This window comes from Homo sapiens, chromosome 4 (assembly GCF_000001405.40).
Source record: "Homo sapiens chromosome 4, GRCh38.p14 Primary Assembly".
Taxonomy (NCBI): Eukaryota; Metazoa; Chordata; class Mammalia; order Primates; family Hominidae; genus Homo; species Homo sapiens.
The window spans coordinates 94,160,207-94,186,087 of record NC_000004.12 but is presented as its reverse complement, the minus strand read 5'-3'; the positions used below and the strand labels follow the sequence as shown (position 1 = coordinate 94,186,087).

Sequence of the window (25,881 nt, the reverse complement as noted above, 5' to 3'; positions counted from 1 at the left end):
TAAGCTGAGGTTCCTAGTGGGAGTTGGTTGATGGGGTTCTTTTTACTAGGTTCGTTTTGTTTTGCTTTGTGCAATCACATGTGCTCTTATATAACAATGTAACAGGGTCAGCGTGGTGGCTCACACCTGTAATCCCAGCACTTTGGGAGGCCGAGGCAGGCGGATTGCCTGAGCTCAGGAGTTCGAGACCAGCCTGGGCAACATGCGGAAACCCAGCCTCTACTAAAAATACAAAAAATTGGCTGTGCGTTGTGGTGCACGCCTGTAATCCCAGCTACTCAGGAGGCTGAGGCACGAGAATAGCTTGAACCTGGGAGGCAGAGGTTGCAGTGAGCTGAGGTTGCGCCACTGCACTACAGCCTGGGTGACAGAGCAAGACCCCATCTCAAAAAAAAAAAAAAGAAAAAGAAAAAATAGCTGGGTGTGGTGGCACACGCCTTTAAGTCCCAGCTACTCAGGAGGCTGAGGTGGGAGAACCACTTGAGCCTGGGAAGCAGAGGTTGCAGTGAGTGGAGACTGCACCACACTGCACTCCAGCTTGGGTGACAGAGCCAGACCCTATCTAAAACATATATATATATATATATATATATATATATATATATATATATACACATAAAATATATATATACACAAATATATATAAATACATGTTTTATACATGCATATAAAACAAATGGAAGTGAGAAACTTTACTCAGCTTGGATACTGTGATAAATGTTCATCATATTCAAATATAAACATGTACAATACATATGCTAATATACATATACATATATAGTGGGATGTTATGGTTGCAAGATTGTGGAGACACTTTCCTGCATCTTGCATTTCTTGTTAGAAATACTTTCTGGAAACCTTTCTATGTCAATAGCTCTAATTCTTTATTTTTAATGATTACATAATATTTCATGGTGCAAACGTACCATTATCTCTTCAGAGGTAACATTGTGTAATGAAAAGGAGCTTTAAAAATGGTTGTTCTTACTCTTCTTGATCTAGTGCACCTGGAAGCTCTCAGCCAAGGGAGCTCCACTTGCAAATTGATTGGTTGCTACTGGAAGGGACAGATTATCCCTTTGTGATAACTCTTTTTCAAGTGGGAAAAAATGCCAAATATTTGGAAATAATAGCTGAGGTTCATAGGAATCATGATTATAAGGATTTGTCAGGTTGCTTGATTTGAAGAGTACTTAAAGATATTTAATCTTTCTAAAATCACAGATCTTAATCTTGTTTTAAAGCTTAAGACTCTTCAAGACTTCCATTCCCCTTAGACGATCGAAATTCCTTAAACCAGCTTATTAGGCATTTCAAAACCTGTCTAGTTCTCTGTAGCCATATCTCCTCCTTTGCACTCAATTCTTAAACCACTCTGAACTATTGAACGTTACCTTTGAAGCTTGATTATGTAACCGATTTCTGCACTTTTTAATATGCTTATTATCCCTTTGAACTATCCTACTCATTGCCTTCCTAATTTTTATTCATTTTTCAAGTCTTGACCTTGTCATCACCTTCCTTGAAATGCCTTAGCTTGATTTCTATATCTGTTAAGGACTCTTTACTAAGTGCTGCCACAATGCCTATTATTGCAATTATTTATTCAATTATACATCCTTCCTGGACTCCTACATCCCAGAGAGAGTGTCTGTTTGCTGCATATCCCCAGTACCTGGCACATAAGAGGTGCTCAATACAAGCTGTTGAATGAATGAATGACAAAAAACAAAGGCTGCTAAGAAGAATGTAAGGCTGATTTGGGAACTAAGGAGATAACCTATCCAAACAGGTAAAGGTGCCACACATTGAATTTAATGTTTAGCAATCCACGGTGAAGAAATTTATTATTATTATTATTATTATTATACTTTAAGTTTTAGGGTACATGTGCACAGCGTGCAGATTTGTTACATATGTATACGTGTGCCATGTTGGTGTGCTGCACCCATTAACTCATCATTTAGCATTAGGTATATCTCCTAATGCTATCCCTCCCCCCTCCCCCCACCCCACAACTATCCCCGGTGTGTGATGTTCCCCTTCCTGTGTCCATGTGTTCTCATTGTTCAATTCCCACCTATGAGTGAGAACATGCAGTGTTTGGTTTTCTGTCCTTGCGATAGTTTGCTGAGAATGATGGTTTCCACCTTCATCCATGTCCCTACAAAGGACATGATCTCATCATTTTTTATGGCTGCATAGCATTCCATGGTGTATATGTGCCACATTTTCTTAATCCAAGAAATTTGTTAATCTTTGATGAAATGATTCAGCAATGTTTTATAATTAAAATACCAATAACTGCATGATTTTATAAGTATGGACCAAATAGAGGACCAAAATATCAATGTCACCTTAAAATATGACTATAGAGCAAAATTCAGTACAATTGGGTTTAAATCATTTAAATTATGGAAGTATAAGCACCATAAAATAAATAAATTATAAGACAATCCTACAATAATACAATTCCAAGAAAAAAGGCCATTCTACATTATACCAAAATATCATAGTTTTTTAAAAAATAAATTATCAATCAATTAGGTACATGACTGATTTACCATCTTCCAATTATTTGGAATAACAGATATAGGTTGTGAAATATTTTCTAGCGGGTTACTAAATTGTTAATAACTATCATGTTTTGAATTGTTAGTACATTTTAGGTCTCTAAAACATGAAATGAGTAAATTTTTAAAAAACAGCTTTGAGATATAATTCACATACCATATAATTTACACATTTAAGGTATATAATTCAGTATTTTTTAGTATATTCACAAGGTTGTGCAACTATCACTACAATCTAATTGTAGAACATTTTCTTCTCCCCTAAAAGAAACCTGGTCACTCTTCATTCTCCTCCCTCTCTCCCCTAGCCCTAGGCACCATCATCTACTTTGTGTCTTTATAGATTTGCCTGTTCTGGACATTTCATACAAATGGAATCATATAATATGTTGCCTTTCGTGTCTGGCTTCTTTTACTTCACATGCTGCTTTTTTCCCAAAGTTTTTCCATGCTACAGCATGCATCAGTACTTTACTATTTTTTATCCCCAAATAATATTTAATTGGTTATACCACATTTTATTTATTTATTCATCAGTTGTTGGACTGAATAAACTTTTTTTCTACTAAGACTTTGCTGGAGAATGAATAAACTTTTTAAAGCATGTTTGAGTAAATTACCCTAATCCTTAGCTATAAAAGAGTTTACTGTAGAAGCAGACTCATCTACAATACAAAATTAAAATAAGGCCGGGCATGGTGGCTCATGCCTGTAATTCCAGCACTTTGGGAGGCTGAGGTGGGCAGATCACCTGAGGTCAGGAGATCGAGACCAGACTGGCCAACATGGCAAAACCCCATCTCTACTAAAAATACAAAAATTAGCTGGGTATGGTGGTGGGTGCCTGTAATCCCAGCTACTCAGGAGGCTGAGACGGGAGAATCGCTTGAACCCAGGAGGTGGAGGTTGTAGTGAGCTGAGATCATGCCACTGCACACCAGCCTGGGTGACAGAGTGAGACTCTGTCTCAAAAAAGAAAAAATAAATAAAATTAAATCAGTTAATTACCAAAATACCTTTTGATTTGAATGGGTTCAAAAGAGCTTGTGTAATTAAAATTTCTGGAAGAATATTTTCTGTACAAGATCTGGGATACTGTGGCTTCTAAAATATGTCACTTCATTTCAGAGGGTTGATGTGAGGATTTAATATAATGAATGAGCTGTTTAATAGTTTAGGTTCAGATTAGGAGCTAAGGCGGTCCTATCCTTCCAGCTATTTTAGGCTGTCCCATTATTCCTACTATTAATTGCACAGAGCCCTCCATTCCTTTGATTCCCACTCCAGGTCTCACATCTTTACTCCTCCATAATCTGCCTTCTCCACTCAACACAATGGCTTTTTGGCCCTGCTAGAGAAGGTTCCAATGTGGAACCTGATTGGTGCCTCCAGAAATATTATCTCTACAATACATGGTGGGGATCAGTGCCAATGGAAAGTGCTTTTACAGTCTTTGGACACTGTTCTTTTCATTCCTGTTTTCTTTGGCAACTATTTCAAACATTTATAGCCAATCTTCAAAAGCTCTAATTACTATATGAATCACACTTGGCAGAGGACATCATTATTGGGAAAATTCTACTGATTAGGGAGGAATTTACCTATCACTTTACATTTAAATTCACGTTTTTATTTCAGGGCTGCTTTTTATTATTTATTTGTTTATTTTACTTTTTATTTTTATTTATTTATTTTTTTTGAGATGGAGTCTTGTTCTGTCACCCAAGCTGGAGTGCAATGGCACAATCTCTGCTCACTGCAACCTCCGCCCCCTGGGTTCAAGAGATTCTCCTGCTTCAGCCTCCTGAGTAGCTGAGATTACAGGCACCCACCATCACACTCGGCTAATTTTTGTGTTTTTTGTAGAGATGGGGTTCCAGCACGTTGGCCAGGCTGGTCACGAACTCCTGACCTCAAGTGATACGCCTGCTTCGGCCTCCCAAAGTGCACAAGCCACTGTGCCTGGCCTGTATTTCTTAATTTGTGCTCTTGATTTCTGTCCCTTTAAGGATCTTGTTCATATCTTGTCTATACCTTCATTGCCTTCCTATCTACTCACTCCATTAAACTCTTTTAAGAAAAGTCTACATAGATATCCTTTCTTTTACTCTTCAGGTTCATTCTTCAAACCACATAAAATCATTTAGCGATCATTTCTCCAAAAGCCGTACATAACCCACCTTCATTACTTTTCCTTTTCTCACTCTACTCACTACTCCTAGTTTGGGCACAGAGTGGCTAGTCTGTGCTTGTAACTCCTATTACTGTATTTTCCCCACTACACTGTAAGACAAAGATCTCTGGAGAAAGGAATTTTGTCTTGTTCACCTTTGAGTCCCCAGAGCCCTTATTCATTCTTGGCCCATAGTTGCTAAATGGAACTTGGGGTGGGGCAATTGCTAAGCAGGAAGTTATGATTAGTCTTCCCTAGATTAAATGGTAAAATGTTATTAATACAAATATTTCAGAAATTGTAAACTGTATGGGAAGTTGCTGGAGAATTGTCAGTGCCTTTACTGTCCATGATATGTTTCTATTTATCAGAGTCCTGGTGCTGCTTTGCCTCATATTAAAAAAGCAACAGTATAGTGTTATTAGTCATAATTTCAGTTATTTAAAAAATATTGGCTACAACTGTACTTCTTTAATTTGAATCTAGCATCTTCTGATTAGGACATACTCCAGACTTACAGAATCCTTTTACTTGATATTCTTGATATATTCTAAATATGTGCTTGGCATATAGTCATGGTATAGTATATGTCAGGATTATTATATCTGGAGTTTTTTCTTCATAAAGATCATGCGTATCCATATGTATAAATTAAATGTAATAACCACTCTTTTTGGAAAGTAGGCTTCATCATTATGCTTACATTTTGTCTTAAATGCTTTTTTGGATTGACTTTATTATCTTGTTTTATATAACACAGAAATACCCAAATATTCTTCTCAGTGGCACTATTCTTGTTAAAAACACCCATCAGACCTTCCACTTTTGAAAATTATCAGTAATAATTTAACCACGATCATTTTTAATCTTTGGACATCAATAGACAGTTTTTTTGTTTTTCTCTAATGCTGCTCTGAAAGCTCTTATAATTAACTACAGGCCCGAATACTTCATCTTCAGCAAAGAAGGACTGTCTCATGTGCTGTGGAAAAGGATGATGCCAAATGTTTTGAGGTACAGACTTTTGATGGCATCACTTAAACAACTTTCAGACTATACCAGTAGACTGAGTCAGGTATGTTCAGGTATTTCCAGAAGCCACTCAAGAAGCAGGTGGGCTCATGAGGCTACTAATCTAAGATTGGGCATTAATTGTTACACTGGAATTAATTACACTGGAATGAATGAATTACACTGAAAGGAATGAACTGATGAGAGATGATTATGATTTTTGTTTGGAGTATTGTTGATGCTTTAATGTTCTAGTTTTTGGAAATATAAGAAACCAGTTGCTCTTTTCTCTTAAGCTATCTATAACTCATAACAATTTAATAGACTCTGCTTTTTAAAACAATATAAAACATTTGTAAATGATCTTTTTTTCCATTTCAACCACTCCAAAATTCAGAAACTATTACTGAGTATTCTTATTCTAATGGCAATACAGTTATCTGGATAGGTTGAAAATGAGCCTGTCCTCCTTGTTACCAGGACATAACTAGAAGCATTGGTTATGCAACCAAGATCTTGGCCTGGAACATCATATTTGGGAATGATGCTATTTTTATTAATATCACTAGGCACTTTTAAGGAACTAAGGTTGACTTTGTGGACCCAGTGCTTACACAGCCCTCTTGGGAAACTGGTCTGGTTCATGGCTTATAGTGATTCTAGCCTTACAGATGAGCAAGAAAAGGTATTTCCTAGCAAGCCAAGAAGCCTGAAGATAATTTGGGAACCCCAAGAAGAGAAGAATTCTCCCAAATTTATAGCCTCTGCAGGTGAAATCTAGCTTCTTGGCTTAGCTTTCTAGCTTCAATAAGCTTTTAAAAGTCTAATCTAATTCTTAAATCCTTATTGAAAACATTCAGTAAAGCAAATTTAGAAAGGTCTTAATGGTAAGTTATTATTATGACTACACCTAAATAAATAATCAAGTCAAATCTAATTAGACCAGTTTTATTTTGTAATCAAGAATAATCTTATTATTTTCAGAGGCCGAGGCAGGTGGATTGCTTGAGCCCAGGAGTTCGAGACTGGCCTGGCAACATGGTGAAACCTGTCTCTATAAAAAATGTAAAAATTAGCTGGGCAAGGTGGTGCATGCCTGTAGTCTCAGCTACTCAGGAAGCTGAGATGGGAGGCTCACTTGATCCCAAGAGGCAGAGGCTGCAGTGAGCCAAGATCGTGCCTTGGTACTCTAGCCTGGGTATAAAAGCCTGTCTCAAAAAAAAAAATAAAAATAAAAATAAAAAAATAATCTATAATCTTAGCAGGCACAGTGGTGGTGCATGTCTGTAGTCCTAACTACTCAGGAGGCTGAGCTGGGAAGATCACTTAAGTCCAAGAATTTGAGGCCAGCCTGGGCAATACAGTGAGGCCCTGTCTCAAAAAAAAAAAAAAAAAAAAAAAAAGACGTGGGGGGGTCAGATGTGGTGGCTCGTGCCTGTAATCCCAGCACTTTGGGAGGCCGAATTGGGCAGATCACTTGAGGCCAGGAGTTTGAGACCAGTCTGGCCAACATGGTGAAACTCGGTCTCTACTAAAAATATAAAAATTAGTGGGGCATGGTGGCGTGTGCCTGTACTCCCAGCTACTGGGGAGGCTGAAGCATGAGAATTGCTTGAATCTGGGAGGCGGAGGTTGTAGTGAGCCAAGATTGTGCCACAGCACTCCAGCCTGGGTGACAGCGAGACTCTGTCCCCCCCCCAAAAAAAAAAAAATCTTCTTTTTGGGAATATTTTTGATCAAAAGACGGGTGACTATAGAGAGAAATTTTGTGTTTCAATGGAAAACTATGTGTCATTTACAGCACATCCTTCCTGGTTATTAGATTCCAGCCCAGTTCATGATCTTTGAAGTCTTTTTCATGTCTCTTTGTAACTGATAGATAACTGATAGACATGCAAACTCTGTCTTGTCTGTCAGAGATTTAAGTGACTTCCAACCCTCACCCTGTGGAAAAAAACAGTTCTGGTACCTACCCACAAATTGGACTGAATTTGGTTACCTTGCTCAGTTAATCCTTACCAAATTTTTAATTCTTCTGGTTTCCTTCAATATCTGGCCACAGTCCTCCAAACTAATGTTTCTAATTTTTCTTCCTTTTGCCTGACTCGGAGTCACGGAGAACTAAACCTGACTGCCCAATCTCTGGGACTTTAGGCTGCCTTGCAGCTGACCCTTTCCACAGAATCTGAAGAAGTCCCTCAAGTTAAACAGTGATCTGATATAAACTTGGAAGAACCCACCACTGCAGCAACCCATGAGTGAGCTGGATTTCTCCCTGGACAAGCCACTGTCTGGACCACTGAGGAATTCCAGTGAATTCCAGGAATTCCTGGGTCAAGCATACCCTTAGATGAGATGCAACCAAGACTGTGGACAACATCAATAGCACTGACAAGCTATCTTAAGAGCATGAAATGCAACAAGCAATGCTATATACCCAAAAGATTTTCGACAACCTCTTAGAATCCACTGAACTAGTACCCTCAGAGTTCAACTCCTAGCTCTTTACTATAATACAACTTTTTATACTAATATTTCTCTTTTTCGTTTTAGGCATCTGTCTCTTGCAATGCCCAAGCCTTTAGGGTCTCCAGGATCCTAAAACAATCAACATTTTTTACCACCTCTTAATAGATGGTTTAACTGATTTCTAGGAACAATACCAACAATAATTCTTGAGAGACTACTTCTTAGACCCTTCGTCAACATTTGGGAAGTTTATAATCAGCTCCAAGTTGTTCAGCAATAAGTGATATTCATTTATCTTGAACAAAAGGACAATTGACAATGTTCAATTTTACCTGAACCCTGTGTACCTGGAAAGCCAGATAGTCAGGATCCCTCCTCCGACTCTTTTGTGCTCCAAGAAATAGCTAACCACAAACAACTACCCTGCTGTCTGTTGTGTGCTCTTAGATAAGACCCATTTTGGCAAGGGGTGGTGGCCGGTGGATCACTTGAGGTCAGGAGTTCGAGACCAGCCTGGCCAACATGGTGAAACCCTGTCTCCACTGAAAATACACAAATTAGGCAGGCAAGGTGGTACGTGCCTGTAATCCCAGCTACTCGGGAGGCTGAGGCACGAGAATCACTTGAACCTGGGAGGCAGAGGTTGCAGTGAGCCGAGATCACAACCCTGCACTCCAGCCTGGGCAATAGAGTGAGACTGTCTCAAACAAACAAACAAACAAAAAACAGAGCAAGCAAGCAAACAAAAAAACCCATCTCCATCCTTCCTCAATGACTTCCCTGTTTATCCACCTCTTTAAAACCCTACCTCCACTTTTCCTTGAGATGTTCCTCATCAATGAATAATCTCCCAATACAGCCCAAATATAATAATCTCTTTAATTGTCAGATGCCCTTTGTCTTTCATGATAGGGTTGATTGTACGCGTTTGCGATCAAAATTGTGGTAGACAGAGTCTTGCTCTGTGGCCAGGCTGGAGGGCAGTGGCACAATCTCAGTTTACTGCAACCTTTGCTTCCCAGGTTCAAGCGATTCTCTTGCCTCAGCCTCTGGAGTAGTTAGGACTACAGGCACGCACCACTATGCCTGGCTAATTTTTTGTGTTTTTTGTAGAGACAGAGTTTCTCCATGTTGGCCAGGCTGGTCTTGAATTCCTGAGCTCAAGTGATCTGCCCGCCTCAGCTTCCCAAGGTGCTGGGATACAGGTGTGAGCCACTGCACCCCACTGCGGCTTTAAAGAATAGGAAAATTATAGCTTTGCTTCACCAGAAAGACAGGCCACTAGCTTAGAAAATGTTAATTCACCTGTATTAAATTCACATTTTTAAACACTTTTTGTGTTATAGGATCTGTACCAAACAAGGAGGAGTGGCAGTAAGAACACAATATTGTGTTTCTAAAATTAAAGTAGAACCTGAGCATCTAAAATGCTGCATATATTCCCTGAGATTAACAAACAAACAATAACAACAAAAAACCCAAGCACAAACTGGGTGCCAGTTTGTCCCAACTAATTCTGTGCTATGTTGGATAATTGCCTGCTATAAGGTATTATATTAGACACTATAATTGAAGTTGAATTAATCAATTTTGAGATGTTCAAATTAAATTCCACTAAAAGTCCACTTTGGAGTGTTTTGAAGAACCACGACCAGAGGTAAACAAGTATAGCTAGAACCTCTACATGCACTTGATCACCCCAAGAGTTGCCACACAGACCTTCTTGCCTCATCATTGTAATAAATCAATAAAATAATTCATGCTGCCTGCTTTTATGTGGATTTCTGATCACGTGACCATGAACAAAAAAAACTTGTATGATTTTGAACTAGATAGTAGACAGCAGATGTGAATCAGAGCCAGATGCAGGTGCTGAGTCTGTGGTTCTAAGCACTGGCACTATTTAATGTCTGATTCCAGCAAGACAGACAACCCAATCCAAACTCCCGTAGATGTCCTCTAAGCATTAAGTAAGAAATTGAGAAGCCGTGATAGTTTTACCAAGCTGTAGAAAACCCAGAAACAGGGTGAGCCTGGTGGTATGCATGTGTCCCAGACAAGGGACATGAAATGCTGAAATCTCGAAGGCACCAAATGTTATCACCAGCTGATAGTCACTGCTGCCATTGTCTTCGAAAACAAGATTAAGGAATGATTTGATAAGTGGGAGGCAGCCTGCAGGTTGTAGAGCCAGTGAGGAGACAACCAGTAAGCATTTCAGCTCCACAGAAACTAAACTAGATCTTTGGATTTGAATGAAACAATAAGATTATTTGAGAGACATCTAAAAGGTAAGCACAAATTTTTAATGTGCCCATTTTTGAACAAGGGCTGGGGTCAAAATTTATGACAAAATCATTTCTATTGCTTGAACAAAGTAAAAGGAAATGTATAGCACAGTATGAGAAACACTAAACCATAATGTCAAAAGATGTAAATGGGTCAGTACAACTTCAGTGTGCTAAGTGGTGTTTAAAGAGTAGGAAAAGGGGCAGTGTTAACAGATTGAGGCCAGAGAAGTAATCAGACAAGAATGAAGAAATCAGATAGGACTCAAAGACTGAGAAAGTGCAATGTTAGCTTGTTTGTTCTTATAGTAAGAGAGTAGACTTAGCCTTTTGTGCTTACCTTCTGAATTTTGTGTATTGTGTAGGAATGCTTCTGACCAATTCTTGCAGGGAAGACCTAAATCTAAATTATACTTTTCAGTTCATGGAAATGGATGAAACACTTAGAAAAGAACAAGTATATCAAGTGGTTTTTAAAATTAAAATATTTTCTCAAGAGCCAGCAAAATTCATATTGAGATGGCTTTCTTATTTGCATTTAATTATTTCCTATAAAATCTTATAGACTATAGGAGATTTTTTTAAATTATAAAGAGATTTTCTTAATTAACTTGAATGTCAATGATTCCTGTCTTATATAATTCCTTTAGAAGGCATTTCAAAATTGTATTAATAGGCTAAAAATAATTTCAGACTTAATTTCCATGGATTAGAAGTAAAGATTTTTGTTGTATGGTATTGTCTAAGCTTATAAAACAATTAATATACTATACTAATTGTGACTTTTTTTTTTTTTTGAGACAGAGTCTAGCTCTGTCACCCAGGCTGGAGGGCAATGGTGTGATCTTGGCTCACTGCAACCTCCGCCTCCTGGGTTCAAGCGATTCTCCTGCCTCTCAGCTTCCCAAGTAGCTGGGACTATAGGTACATGCCACCACACCCAGCTAATTTTGTATTTTTTAGTAGAGACAAGGTTTCACCATGTTGGCCAGGCTGGTCTTGAACTCCTGACCTCAGGTGATCCACCGGCCTCAGCCTCCAAAAGTGCTGGGATTACAGGCATGAGCCACCGTGCCCAGCCAATTGTGACCATTTTTAAAACCATTGCCCCAAACAGCATAATTAGTCTATTTGTCCTTTGCTTAATAACAATAACTAGTTTGAAAGACTGAAATGTGAAAATATTTATCTTAAAAATCCACCTACGGGGCATTTGGTGTAACAGAACCTTTTTTTCCCACATCTACCCTTTAAATTCAATACATCTATTAGTATAGTAAATATTGATAAAGTGAGGAATTAAAATATACTTTAGAGATATTTCAAGTTAATTAGAAAATTAAAATCTACTTGTCTTTTGTAGTTTTTTAGTCTATTCTATTGTACCTTATTAAGTTCTGTTTAAATTCTACACAGTATGGGCCATGCCTGTATTACTCAGGAGTGCATCTTTAGCATCTAACACAGGATGTGGCACTTGGGCACCTGAAAAATATTTGGTGAATGACTGAATATTTCCAAAAGAGAAAAGAGTAAAAGGATTACATTTTGAATATGTCTGTGTCTTAGATTATTTGCGCTGCTCAAACAAAATACCCCAGACGGTAATTTATATACAATAGAAATTTATTTCTTAGCGTTCTGGAAGCTGGGGAGCATGAGATCAAGGTGCTGGCAGGTTTGGTGCCTAGTGAGGGCTGCTCTCTGCTTCCATGATGGCAACTTGTTGCTCCATTCTCACATGGAGAAGGGGTTTAAGAAAAAAAAAAGGGTGGAAGGGATGAATAGCTCCCTCACAGCTCTTTTATAAGTCACTGATCATTTATGAGAGCTCTGCCCTCTTGACTTATTCACCTCCTAAAGACCTCACCTCTTAACACTATCACAGTGTTAATTAAGTTCCAATACAAAACTCTGGGGGGACACATTCAGATCATAGCACTCTGAAACGTAGGAATTTTGCCTTTTTCCCTCCCTCCCTCCCAACCTTTCCTCCCTCTCTCCCTTCCTTCTTTCCTTCTTTTATCCTTCCCCTCCCTCCTTCCTCCCTGCTTCCTTCTTTTTTTTTTCTTTTTAAGGAATATAAGGTGATCAGGAATAAAATTAAAATAATTTTGTGAATGGAATTTGTGTCCACCTAATTGTAAATTTTGATTAAATTTGTACATCATCTGACAAAAATCAGAAACATTTTAGGTATTCCACTCAATTTTTTTTTTTTTTTTTTTTTTTTTGAGACAGAGTCTTGCTCTGTGGCCCAGGCTGGAGTGCAGTGGTGCAATCTCGGCTCACTGCAACCTCTGCCTCCCGGGTTCAAGCAATTCTCCTGCCTCAGCCTCCCAAGTAGCTGGGACTACAGGTGCATGTCACCACACCCAGCTAATTTTTTTTTTTTTTTTTTGTATTTTTAGTAGCGATGGAGTTTCACCATGTTGTCCAGGCTGGTCTCAATCTCCTGACCTCATGATCCACCTGCCTTGGCCTCCGAAAGTGCTGGGATTACAGGCGTGAGCCACTGTGCCCAGCCTCCACTCAATGTTAATAGAAGTAGAAACATTAAGAAATGCCAGTCATTCCAAACAGAGGAAATTAGTAGACACATTAACAAAACCAATACACAGTATTGTCTCTCTTTTTTCTATCTCTTACATATTCTTACCATCTATTTAGAAGATACTCAATTGAAGATTTTTTTTTCCATTTTGTGTTGCTAAAAGAGGAATACCTGAGGCTGGGTAATTTACAAGGAAAAGAGGTTTATTTAGCTCATGGTTCTACAGGTTGTACAAGAAGCATGGTGCTGTCATCTGCTAGGCTTCTGGTGAGAGCTTTTGTGCTAAGTCAAAACGTTGACAGAGAAGGTCAAAGGCGAAGAGGGCATGTGTGAAGAGAAAGCTCAACTGGAGTTTTCCAATGTCTGAGGGAAGGATACAACAAATCAAGGAAGGCTTGCAAATCCAACAAGTCTATTCAAGCATTTGACTATTACTTACATATCTGATAAATTTAAACTTGAGGGTTTAATATTGAATTATTTTAAAATTTGAAATAATGTTCATGAACAAATAATTTCACAATTTTTGAATTAAAGTTACAAGTCTAATATCAGTCAAACTTATTTATACGTTTCAAATTAAATTCGTGAGTCCAACAGCATTTAAATTTATTTAGATGTATTTATTTAAAAATGTCATAATAAATCACAAATTAAATCATTAAATTTATTGGATTAGCACAGAAGCAATATTGCCTGCCCACTCATTCTCATCTCTGATGTAACTGGTTAGAACTTAGGAACTTCATACAAATACAGTTTCAAAAAGGATATTGACACTACTTATAGGATTTTTCCCTCAAGCCCCTGATTAAAATTCATTTTTACTGTAGTGTGACTTTTTTTTTTTTTTTTTGAGACAGATTTTCGCTGTTATTGCCCAGGCTAGAGTGCAATGGTGCAATTTCGGCTCACTGCAACCTCCACCTTCCAGGTTCAAGCAATTCTCCTTCCTCAGCCTCCCAAGTAGCTGGGATTACAGGTGCCCGCCACCACTCCCAGCTAATTTTTTGTATTTTTAGTAGAGATGGGGTTTCACCATGTTAGCCAGGCTGGCCGTGAACTCCTGACCTACCTAATTTGACATGAAACCTATTGTATATCTTTTTTATGACTTTCTATGTTCATTTATTGACAGAGATTACTCAATATATTAGATGTAATTCTTAGTATTACCACTAGGGTGCCCTGCTGGGACTTCCGGAAGCAAAAATTTGGAAGAATTTGCTCAACTTCAGCTTTCTGAAGTTGCATGAGCGAGTAGGAATTGCACAATTTGGCATCACGTTTACAACAGCATCTTTTCTCATTCTTTTGGTGTTCTTCCTTCTTGGAAAATAAAGGTTTGGTACTCTTTTGGCTAAATATAGATTTGTATCTTGCCTAAAGATAACTCTTACAACAGTGTTGATTGCCCAACCAGTACTCTTTATTTTCTCCTCCTAATGACCAGTGGATCTAAATGCCATTTAAACAAGCTAGAGATCTGATTACCCAAAGCTGGGAGTCATCATATTCAATCTACCATTGGAAGAGCAGATGAGTTTTTTCAGGCTAAAGAAAGTTTTATTTTTAAGGGGTCTTCATCTCTTTATTTCATTCCAATAGAAGGAGACAGCATTTAAGTGATTACATTCTACTGAATAGTTTGGGATGAGAGAGATTAATGTTGATCTTTGTGTTAGTCTGTTCTCAAATTGCTATAAAATAAAAGAATTTAAAAATTGCTATAAAATAATATGTGAGACTGTGTAATTTACAAAGAAAAGAGGTTTAATTTGCTCACAGTTCTGCAGGCTGTATAGGAGGCATAGCAGCTTCTGCTTCTGGGGAGGCCTCAGGAATCTTATAACCACGGTGGAAGGTGAAGGGGAAACAGGCATCTTCACATGGCTGGAGTAGGAGGAAGGTGGGGTGGTTTAACACTTTAACCAAAAAGTGTTAAAAAAAAGCCACACACTTTTAAACAACTAGATCTCATGAGAACTTGCTCACTATCCCTACATAGTGTATCCGGAATTGTTGGGTTCTTGGTCTCACTGACTTCAAGAATGAAGCCGCGGACCCTTGCAGTCAGTGCTACAGTTCTTAAAGGCAGCATGTCCGGAGTTTGTTCCTTCTGATGTTCAGATGTGTTTGGAGTTTCTTCCTTCTGGTGGGTTCATGGTCTCCCTGGCGTCAGGAGTGAAGCTGCAGACCTTCGCGGTGAGTGTTACAGCTCATAAAGGCAGCATGGACCCAAACAGTCAGCAGCAGCAATATTTATTGCAAAGAGCAAAACAACAAAGCTTCCACGGTGCAGGAGAGGACCCAGGGGGTTTGCCACTGCTGGCTTGGGCAGCCTGCTTTTATTCCCTTATCTGGCCCCACCCACATCCTGCTGATTGGTCCATTTTACAGAGAGCTGATTGGTCTGTTTTACAGAGAGCTGATTGGTCCATTTTGACAGGGTGCTGATTGGTGCATTTACAATCCCTGAGCTAGACACAAAAGTTCTCCAAGTCTCCCCTAGATTAGCTAGACACAGAGCACTGATTGGTGCATTCACAAGCCCTGGGCTAGACATAGGGTGCTGATTGGCGCATTTACAAATCCTGAGCTAGACACAGAGTGCTGATTGGTGCATTTACAAACCTTGAGCCAGACACAGAGTGCTGATTGCTAGACAAAGTTAGCTAGACATGAAGTTTCTCCAAGTCCCCACTAGACTCAGGAGCCCAGCTGGCTTCACCTAGTGGATCCCCTACTGGGGCCGCAGGTGGAGCTGCCTGCCAGTAGCAGCGGTGTGCCAGCAGTCCTCAGCCCTTGGGCGGTCGATGGGACCGGGCGCCATTGAGCAGGGGGCGGCGCTCGTCTGGGAGGCTGGGGCTGCGCAGGAGCCCAGGGCGGGGGTGGGGAGGCTCAGGCATGGCGGGCTGAAGGTCCCGAGCTCTGCCCCATGGGGAGGCAGCTAAGGGCCGTGAGAAATCAAGCGCAGCGCAGGTGGGCCGGCACTGCTGGGGGACCCGGTGCACCCTCCACAGCTGCTGGCCCGGGTGCTAAGCCCCTCACTGCCCGGGGCTGGCGGGGCCGGCCGGCGGCTCCGAGTGCGGGGCCCACCAAGCCCACGCCCACCCAGAACTCCAGCTGGCCCGCGAGCGCCTCGCGCAGCCCTGGTTCCCGCTCGCGCCTCTCCCTCCACACCTCCCTGCACGCAAGCTGAGGGAGCTGGCTCCGGCCTCCGCCATCCCAGGAAGGGGCTCCCACAGTGCAGCGGCGGGCTGAAGGGCTCCTCAACCACCGCCAGAGTGGGTGCCCAGGCAGAGGAGGCGCCGGGAGTGAGCGAGGGCTGCAAGGGCTGCCAGCAGGCTGTCACCTCTCAATAGTACCAAGGGGAAAAATTTGCCCCCATGATCCAATCACCTCCCACTGGGCTCCATCTCCAACTTTGGGGACTACAATTCCACATGAGATTTGGGTGAAGACACAGATCCAAACCATATCACTGGTATTGTTCTGAAGATCAAGTGGAATAATTATTGTGTGAATACGTTGTAAATTGTGAAGTAGTATGACATTTGTAAGGTGTTATCATTTAACATTTATTGAGCATTTACCATGGGCTGGGCATTGTGTTTAATGAGTGTTTAAATAGCTTATAACATTAAATTCTGTGGTAGCCAAATCTAGTTGCTTAGTAGATCCCCCTGGATATCCACATGCACATAGAATCATGAATCATATACAATTTATGAATCACAAGATATGGCATAAGATCTGGAGATTCACATTATCCCACTCTCCTAAGGGAATTTCAGTTTACAGTCAGGTTTTAGAACCACTGATTTAGTCTTCAAACTAACTCACTGAGGAAATAACTAATTATCATCTCCGTTTCCTTTCTTTGTTGAAGAGCCTTAATGAGCAATAAAAAAAGGTTTTTTTTCATTCTCTGAAAATTCTATGTCATTTGGTATGTCAGAGTAACACTTTTTTTTTTAATTTTTTTTTTTGAGACGGAGTCTCGCTCTGTCGCCCAGGCTGGAGTGCAGTGGCGCCATCTCGGCTCACTGCAAGCTCCACCCTCCGGGTTCACGCCATTTTCCTGCCTCAGCCTCCAGAGTAGCTGGGACTACAGGTGCCCGCCACCACCCCCGGCTAATTTTTTGTATTTTTTTTAGTAGAGACGGGGTTTCACCGTGGTCTCAATCTCCTGACCTTGTGATCGGCCCGCCTCGGCCTCCCAAAGTGCTGGGATTACAGGCGTGAGCCACTGCGCCTGGCCTAACACTTTTTTTAAAACTGGAAAATGGAGTAGAACGCCTTGTTCTCAAAGAGCTTACAATTTTGTGAAATGCCAATGTAAGGAATTATTTATATAATATTAAAGTGTGATGAAGACTATGAAAGAGGCAAGTTTCAGCTAAAGCAGCAGTAGGGAGAGGAAACAGTCATCTCTGCCTGGGGAGAGTGAAGGTGTGGGAAAGTTTCACAGAAGATGAGAGTGACAGAAGCATGTACAGAGGGAAGGATGTATGAGCCAGCACAGCATACTGAAAGAATGGAAAGAATTCAGTATGGCTGTTGGGGAGGGCATTCAGGAAAGCATGGGCTTTGGAATCTGATAAACACAGTTTTAGATTCTGGATCCGCTACTTACTAGCTAAGTTACCTTGAGCAATTTCATTTAGCTTCCTTGAATCTTAGATTTCTCAGCTAGGATAACAAAGCCTTTCTACCCTTCAGAGTATTTGTCAAGGTTAATGGAAACTCTTATTATAAATTAACACGTATTAATTTATTTTCATTAGAATATTCTACTACTATTACTATTATTGCAAGTCTTTTGGAAAGCATTTGGGTATTATTACGTTAGTTAGCTTTGGGGATGCCATTAAAATAAAAGAAGGGTGTGAATGCATTTGCCTTCTACCAATAATACTTTGTCAGCAAGACAAGGATGAATCCGAGGACATTGGAGGCAAAGAGATCACTTCCTGGACTAATTCTCATTCTAGATGATGCATAATAAGAATATTAGTACTGGCTGGGCGTGGTGGCTCACGCCTGTAATCCCAGCACTTTGGGAGGCCGAGGCAGGTGGGTCACTTGAGGTCAGGGGTGCGAGACCAGCCTGACCAACATGGTGAAACGCCCTCTCTACTAAAAAATACAAAATTAGTCCGGCATGGTGGCGCATGCCTGTAATCCCAGCTACTTGGGAGGCTGAGGCAGGAGAATCGCTTGAACCCAAGAGGCAGAGGTTGCAGTGAGCTGAGATAGTGCGATTGCACTCCAGTCTGGGCAACAAGAGTGAAACTCTGTCTCAAAAAAAAAAAAAAAAGAATATTAGTGGGGATGGGGAGAAAAAGATGGATTCAGAGATATTTAGGAGATAGTTTAACATATCATATACAATTATGGTTAAAGACAAAACTAAGCATGTGGCAAAATTAACAGTCTATTTATTCATAAACTTGTAGCAAGAAAGCCCTTGGCAATGTTTTATTTCAGCAGGTCTTCAATGGTATTGGACAAGTATGAGTTTATAGTGTGTGAAGAAAATACTAAGCCTCTGATTGGCAAGCATTTATTAAGGTAGGAATTTTAGAAGCAAGAGAGAATTTTATTGAGTGGTCATTGAGTTCATCTGGCAATAGCTGGTAGGCCATAAAGGGGCAAGCAGTTGGGATCATTTCAAAACAGGAAGAATTGTTCAATGTTAGAGGTGGAAAGTTTTCCTTGGTGACTGTCAGGCCTCTGAGCCCAAGCCAAGCCATCGCATCCCCTGTGACTTGCACATAGACGCCCAGATGGCCTGAAGTAACTGAAGAATCACAAAAGAAGTGAAAATGCCCTGCCCCACCTTAACTGATGACATTCCACCACAAAAGAAGTGTAAATGGCCGGTCCTTGCCTTAACTGATGACATTACCTTGTGAAAGTCGTTTTCCTGGCTCATCCTGGCTCAAAAATCTCCCCCACTGAGCACCTTGCGACCCCCACTCCTGCCCGCCAGAGAACAAACCCCCTTTGACTGTAATTTTCCTTTACCTACCCAAATCTTATAAAATGGCCCCACCCCTATCTCCCTTCGCTGACTCTCTTTTCGGACTCAGCCCGCCTGCACCCAGGTGATTAAAAACTTTATTGCTCACACAAAGCCTGTTTGGTGGTCTCTTCACACGGACGCGCATGAAAGTGACCATTTCAGGGAAAAGGTGGGGAACAAGTGGGGAACAAGTGGGGTTGATGGGGTACTCTTTTGAGGTCAAATTATCATCACAGTTCTTATTGGGAGTGGCTGCCATGGTAGGCAGTTTTTCTCAACTATTTAATATGAAGATCAGATAAAAGTTTGTTTATTCATTTTGCCCTGGTGGAAATATTCTAAATAATTTTAGTGGATGAAAGAACCTGGTAAGTATTATTGGGCATCATGGTATCTACACTGTATGTGCTAGCTCAGGGCATATTTCTTTTAGGGAAGATTTTAAGATAGCCACCATTTTCATTTGCATACTGATGTGCATGGGCTTATCTATTGCTGCAGAGTTAAATTCTACAAATTACAAATAAGACCAATATCAGTCGTAAAAAGTTCATCATATTTGCTCTGGAGTTTTACACTGAAGTTTACGAGCAGAAATATTTTCATATTCATGTTAGTAAACATACCTGGTGCACAAAGCTTCTGAATAGAAAAGACCAGGATAATTTAAGAATATGCTCTGAGGCCGGGTGTGGCCAGGTGCGGCTCATGACTGTAATCCCAGCACTTTGGAAGGCAGAGGCAGGCGGATCACGAGGTCGGGGGATTGAGACCATCCTGGCTAACACGGTGAAACCCCATCTGTACTAAAAATACAGAAAAATTAGCCGGGCGTGGTGGCGGGGGCCTGTAGTCACAGCTACTGGGGAGGCTGAGGCGGGAGAATGGCGTGAACCCGGGAGGCGGAGCTTGCAGTGAGCCAAGATCGCGCCACTGCACTCCAGCCTGGGCGACAGAGCGAGACTCTGTCTCAAAAAAAAAAAAAAAGAATATGCTTTGAAAGCAAACAAGAACCTCCTTAATCTTACATGTGATTTAATTTGCTTTAATGTGCTTTGTCTAGGTAAAGCAAATTTTTCCATGAAAGAAAGCTTGGACAGAAAATACGCTTGGTAAATCAGTCTTCTAAAAGCTGCTGGAGGTAAGGAAAAAAATTAGTAATGTAATGCTGTTGCTAAACTGCCCATCTAATTAATTCTGGGTAATATATTAACAATAATTTTTTGATTTTTTTGGCAGAAAATTTGCCTTTTTTCACTACTCTTATCTCAATTTACTTCAAGAAGATTCCTTTAGTTGGCTAGGCAAGAAAATGTTCCTTGCCTCTCTTACATAACTTAGTGTCTCCACTTAAATAAAATGCCTTAAGGAAAAAGCAATTGCAAAGGAGGTAGGAAGAAAGGCAAGAACAAGGCTAAAAGAACTTGGTTTTAACAGGCATATACATGAGAACCTTTATAGACTAAGAACTTCTGGAGGGTGGGGTGGGTCATCCTGGGATTAATGATGAAAGGAATCTGTCACCTTTGAGCATGAGTACTTTTTACCTATGGCTCCGCAACAAAGAGGCTATTGTACTTCAAAGCAGAAGCTCCAAACAATGACAAAGAAACCAGGCAAAGGGGGCCAGAGGGGTTGTTGCTTACCGAACATTTCGGTAGCATTTTCAAAATAATTGGCTTAACTACACTATCAAACTAAGTTATAATTTCAAGGGCACCACAATTAACAGGGATTTATGTTAAAGTTCTGTTAAGTAGTTCTTTGTTCTTTCTTTCTTTCTTGTAAACAGATCTCTAAGGGACGTACCCAGGGCCTGCAATATTATGGGTCAATACTTCATGAAACAGAAGGTACTCTTGATGCAAGGATGGTAAGGGATGTTTGGAATCAGAAACATATAGTCACTCTGAGTATGATAGGAGAGATGAAGATATGATATGAAGAACTAAATAAAAATAAATTCTAAGAATATTAAGTTCACACTTTATATACTGCTCCAGTTAAAGGCAATTTAGTGAGTTGTTAAAAGCCAGGCATCTGGAGCCAGGCTGCCTGGGTTTATCGCTCAGCTTTGCCACTTGGGTAAACAAACAAAACCACCTGTAATCTTACTACTTAAAAAAATACAAAGTATTTACAGTAAAGTATGAAAGCAAACCCATACTCCATTAACCATTCTCCATGTAATATGTATCCTTCTCAACTTTTCCCCAAAAGTTATACACGTCAGTATATAATGGACAGATGCATAATGCCAATAATACTGGTTTGGAATTAAAAACATCATTCAGTGATCTAACATGAGCCATGTAGTACATACATATTCATCTTGTATGTACTAATCATCTTGTGTTACTGGCTAGGGGTCCCAATCCAGACTCCAAGAGAGGGTTCTTGGATCTCATGCAGGAAAGAATTCAGGAAGAGTCCCTAAAGTGAAAGCAAGGACATTGGGAAAGTCCTATATCCCTAAAGGAATAAAGAATGGCTACTCCATCGGCAGAGAAGCCCTGAAGGCTGCTGGTTGTCTATTTTTATGGTTATTTCTTTATCATATGGTAAACGAGGGGTGGGTTATTCAAGCTTCCCCTTTTTAGACCATATAGGGTAACTTCTTGATGTTGCCATGGCATTTGTAAAGTGTCACTTGACTTTGGTGGGAGTGTAGCAGTGAGGATGAACAGAGTCACTCTCATCGCAACCTTGGTTTTGGTGGGTTTTAGCCAGCTTATTTACTGCAATCTGTTTAATCAGCAGTGTCTTTTTGACCCGTATCTTTTGCCGACCTCCTATCTCATCCTGTGACTTAGAATGCCTTAACCATCTGGGAATGCAGCCCAGGAGGTCTCAGCCTCATTTTACCAAGCCCCTATTCAAGATGGAGTTGCTCTAGTTCAAACGCCTCTGACACTTGTATGTACTAAGATGGATATAGTATTTTTTTGTCTTATTAACTATTGGTCTATTTAATAAACATTTGTGTGTCTATTATTTTGCTATTATGATAGTAAAGTGAATGTCCTTGCACATAAATATTAATGTTATTATTTCTGTAGGTTAAATTTCAACTGGGATGATAAATCAAAAGGTATGCACATTTTAAATTCTAATAGATACTTCCACATTACTTTTTAAAAGATTGTGCAAGGCCGGGCATAGTGGCTCACGCCTATAATCCTAGCACTTCAGGAGGCTGAGGCATGCAGATTGCTTGCGTTCATGAGTTTGAGACCAGCCTGGGCAACATGGTGAAACCCTGTCTCTAAAAAGTATACAAAAATTAGCAGGTTGTGGTGTTACATGACTGTTTTCCCAGCTACTTGAGAGGCTGAGGCGGGAGCATTGCTTGAACCCAGGAGGTCGAGTTTGCAGTGAGCCGAGATTGCCCCACTGCACTCCAGCCTGGGTGACAAAGTAAGACACTGTCTCAAAAAAAAAAAAAGGTTGTACTAATTTGTGCTGTCAGTAATATGTCAGAGAATGTCTTCTTCAATCCATATGAATTCTTTTTTTTTTTTTTTTTTTTTGAGATGGAGTTTCGCTCTTGTTGCCCAGGCTGGAGGGCAATGGCTCGATCTCGGCTCACCACAACCTCCGCCTCCTAGGTTCAAGCAGTTCTCCTGCCTCAGCCTCCCGAGTAGCTGAGATTACAGGCATGCACCACTACGCCCGGCTAATTTTGTATTTTTAGTAGAGATGGGGTTTCCCCATGTTGAGGCTGGTCTCAAACTCCTGACCTCAGGTGATCCACCAGCCTCAGCCTCCCAAAGTGCTGGGATTACAGGTGTGAGCCACCGCGCCCGGCCCCCATATGAATTCTTTTTCGCTTTTTATTGTTACGACAAATTTTAAATACAGCTAAAATAGGAAATAGTCTAATGAGCTCCCATAAACCCAACATCCCATTTCAATAATCATCAACTTTATTTTTTTCCTTCTTGTTGAATTATTTTAAAGCAGATATTAGACATGACATTTTCCCATGCAAAGTAGATATTTTATATCTTCAATTATTCTAATTCTGCTTTCTTCTAACAATATATAAACATGATGATGTTTGCTCTTCTCCCATTCTTATCTCTAAATGTGAGAAAATAAAAAACAGAACACTAAAAGCTTCCTGTAAGACTTCAGGGAAGACATGAAAGGTTGAACACATTTTACTTTTACTCCCAGAATTATTTTGAAGTATTAGTAATCACTGGCTTTCAACACATACTAGTTTCTGATGTGGCTCTTTATGCTGCTGTTCTCGTTAATGCAGAAACTGTTTATTGAATGAGAAATAAGCTCCCACTCTAGGATGAGATGCATCATTGAGGAGCAGCCCCCTGGTTTTGGTGACAGAACTCCTACTGAAGGACAGTGCCCTGAGGATGCTGTGGTGAGGTATGCATCCTGCTAGCTTGTTGATACTGCTCCATGCTCATAAAACCATCTGGGGTCCACGAGTAACAAAACCATGATCCATAATAACAAACAAACAAAATGTTTGTTAGCATGACAGCCATCACAGGTCATCCCATCCCGAGGGAAGTGATCCAGAGATTACTTGTTTTTCCATCAAGTGGGAGATAGTAGAGGGCACCAGAAATTTGGAAGAAAGAAAGATGTTACCAGACCCCAGCACCTACCCAAAGTTAATATTATCCCTTCAGTGGTTCAACAGAAAGATGTTGACGGAAAAGCGTCCCGATCCAGACTGCCCGTTTTTTTTTTTTTAAAAATAGAGATGGGGTCTCACTATGTTGACCAGGCTGGTCTCGAATTCCTGAGCTCAAGTGATTCTCTCATTTCTCACGAGGCTGTGGAGAAATAGGAATGCTTTTACACTGTTGGTGGGAGTGTAAATTAGTTCAACCATTGTGGAAGACAGTGTGGTGATTCCTCAAGGAAGTAGAATCAGAAATACCATTTGACCCAATGATCCCATTACTGGGTATTTACCCAAAGGATTATAAATCATTCTACTATAAAGACACATGCGCATGTATGCTTATTGCAGCACTGTTCATAATAGCAAAGACTTGGAACCAACCCAAATGCACATCAATGTTAGACTGGATAAAGAAAATGTGGCACATACACACCATGGAATACTTTGCAGCCATAAAAAAGGATGAGTTCATGTCCTTTACAGGGACATGCATGAAGCTGGAAACCATCATTCTCAGCAAAGTAACACGGGAACAGAAAACCAAACACCATATGTTCTCACTCATAAGTGGGAGTTGAACAATGAGAACACATGGACACAGGGAGGAGAACAACACACAATGGGACCTGTCCGGGGGTCGGGGGCAAGGGAAGGGAGAGCATTAGGACAAAAACCTAATGCATGTGGGGCTTAAAACCTAGATGATGGGTTAATAGGTACAGCAAACCACCATGGCACATGTATACCTATGTAACAAACCTACATGTTCTGCACATGTATCCTGGAACTTAAAGTAAAATGAAAAAAAAAAAAAAAAGAATCTGGGGATTAAACATTCTGAATTTAATTGGCCTAATCCAATTTTCACACAATAGCAGTAGAGATCTTTTTGAAATGTAAATCAGATTTTGTTATTTACCAGTTTGAAACCAGTCACAGGCTTACCATTGTACTAAAATAAAATATAAAATTTAGATATCCTCAAGGAGGCCTATAAGCCTGGTCTATCTTTTCACTTTTTTTTTTTTTTTTTTTTTTTTTTTGAGACAAGAGTCTCGTTCCGTCACCCAGGCTGGACTGCAATGGTGCTATCTCAACTCACTGTAGCTTCCACCTCCCAGTTTCAAGTGATTCTCCTGCCTCAGCCTCCTGAGTAGCTGGGATTACAGGTGCCCGCCAGCATGCCCGGCTAATTTTTTTGTATTTTTAGTAGTTACGGGGTTTCACCATGTTGATCAGGCTGGTCTCGAACTCCTGACCTTAAGTGATTCACCCCCCACTCAGCCTCACAAAGTGTTGGGATTACAGATGTGAGTCACCAAGCACCTGGCCTATCTTTTCACTTTCATGCATGCCTTTCTCCATTTTGCTCACTGTCCTAGAGTCACATTAGGCTACTTTCAGGCCCTCCCAAGCTTTAGTGTCTCCTCACTTTGTTGGTTTAGTCAAGACTTCTCCTCACCCTTCACAATAATTATTCTTTATACTTCAGGCTTCAGTTTAAATGTCACTTACCAAGAGGCCTTCAGAGACATCTCATTTTAAATTAGATTCCCTAGTTTTACTTTCTCTTTGTAACCTGAACCTTTCCTTCATAGCACTTATCCTTTAGTGATTATAATTATATCATTATAAATAGGTTTTAAATTGTAATGTTTCTCTGTCCCTACCCCCAACTTCCCAGAAGCTTTCAAAGGATAGATATCCATGCTTGTTCTCTCACCCCTCAAAATCCAGCACAACGCAGTGCCTTGCCTTTAGTATGCACATGGTACTTAAAACAAAAACAAAAACCCCAAAAACCCGAATATATAAATAAAGTAACATTATATCCATGCTTGTTCTTTCACCCCTCAAAATCCAGCACAACGCAGTGCCTTGCCTCTAGTATGCACATGGTACTTATACTTAAAAACAAAACAAAACAAACCCCCCCCCCCAAAAAAAACCTGGGTATATAAATAAAGTAACATTTAAACTAAGGCCAGAAGGGTGATGACTAGGACTTAGCTAGGCAAAGGTTGTGTGTAGGAGGGAAGCATTGGAAAGACTTTTCTGCAAGGAACTTTTGGAAGCTTTTAAAGGAGGGAAAGGCCATGAGCGTCACAATTGTGAGATTAGA

The 25,881-nt window shown here is 40.3% G+C and overlaps 1 long non-coding RNA gene across 1 annotated transcript in view, besides 2 other annotated features; it reads left to right on the top strand.

Annotated features, from left to right (window-relative positions):
* The window catches only part of SMARCAD1-DT (SMARCAD1 divergent transcript), an 89,737-nt gene that overhangs the window by 21,469 nt on the left and 42,387 nt on the right, over positions 1-25,881 (top strand). Inside the window, exons 2-5 of the long non-coding RNA NR_125922.1 lie at positions 20,163-20,240; positions 20,892-20,952; positions 22,159-22,190; positions 23,367-23,491. This is a non-coding gene — a long non-coding RNA (SMARCAD1 divergent transcript). The remainder of the gene's footprint in view (positions 1-20,162; positions 20,241-20,891; positions 20,953-22,158; positions 22,191-23,366; positions 23,492-25,881) is intronic.
* Positions 18,561-19,268: an enhancer, noted in NCBI's record as "OCT4-NANOG-H3K27ac-H3K4me1 hESC enhancer chr4:95087971-95088678 (GRCh37/hg19 assembly coordinates)". NCBI's record gives its function as "activates a minimal SCP1, AML or CMV promoter by ChIP-STARR-seq in naive and primed H9 embryonic stem cells {active_cell/tissue: H9 hESC(naive and primed)}" and the evidence as "EXISTENCE:reporter gene assay evidence [ECO:0000049][PMID:30033119]".
* Positions 19,979-20,686: an enhancer, noted in NCBI's record as "OCT4-NANOG-H3K27ac-H3K4me1 hESC enhancer chr4:95086553-95087260 (GRCh37/hg19 assembly coordinates)". NCBI's record gives its function as "activates a minimal SCP1, AML or CMV promoter by ChIP-STARR-seq in naive H9 embryonic stem cells {active_cell/tissue: H9 hESC(naive)}" and the evidence as "EXISTENCE:reporter gene assay evidence [ECO:0000049][PMID:30033119]".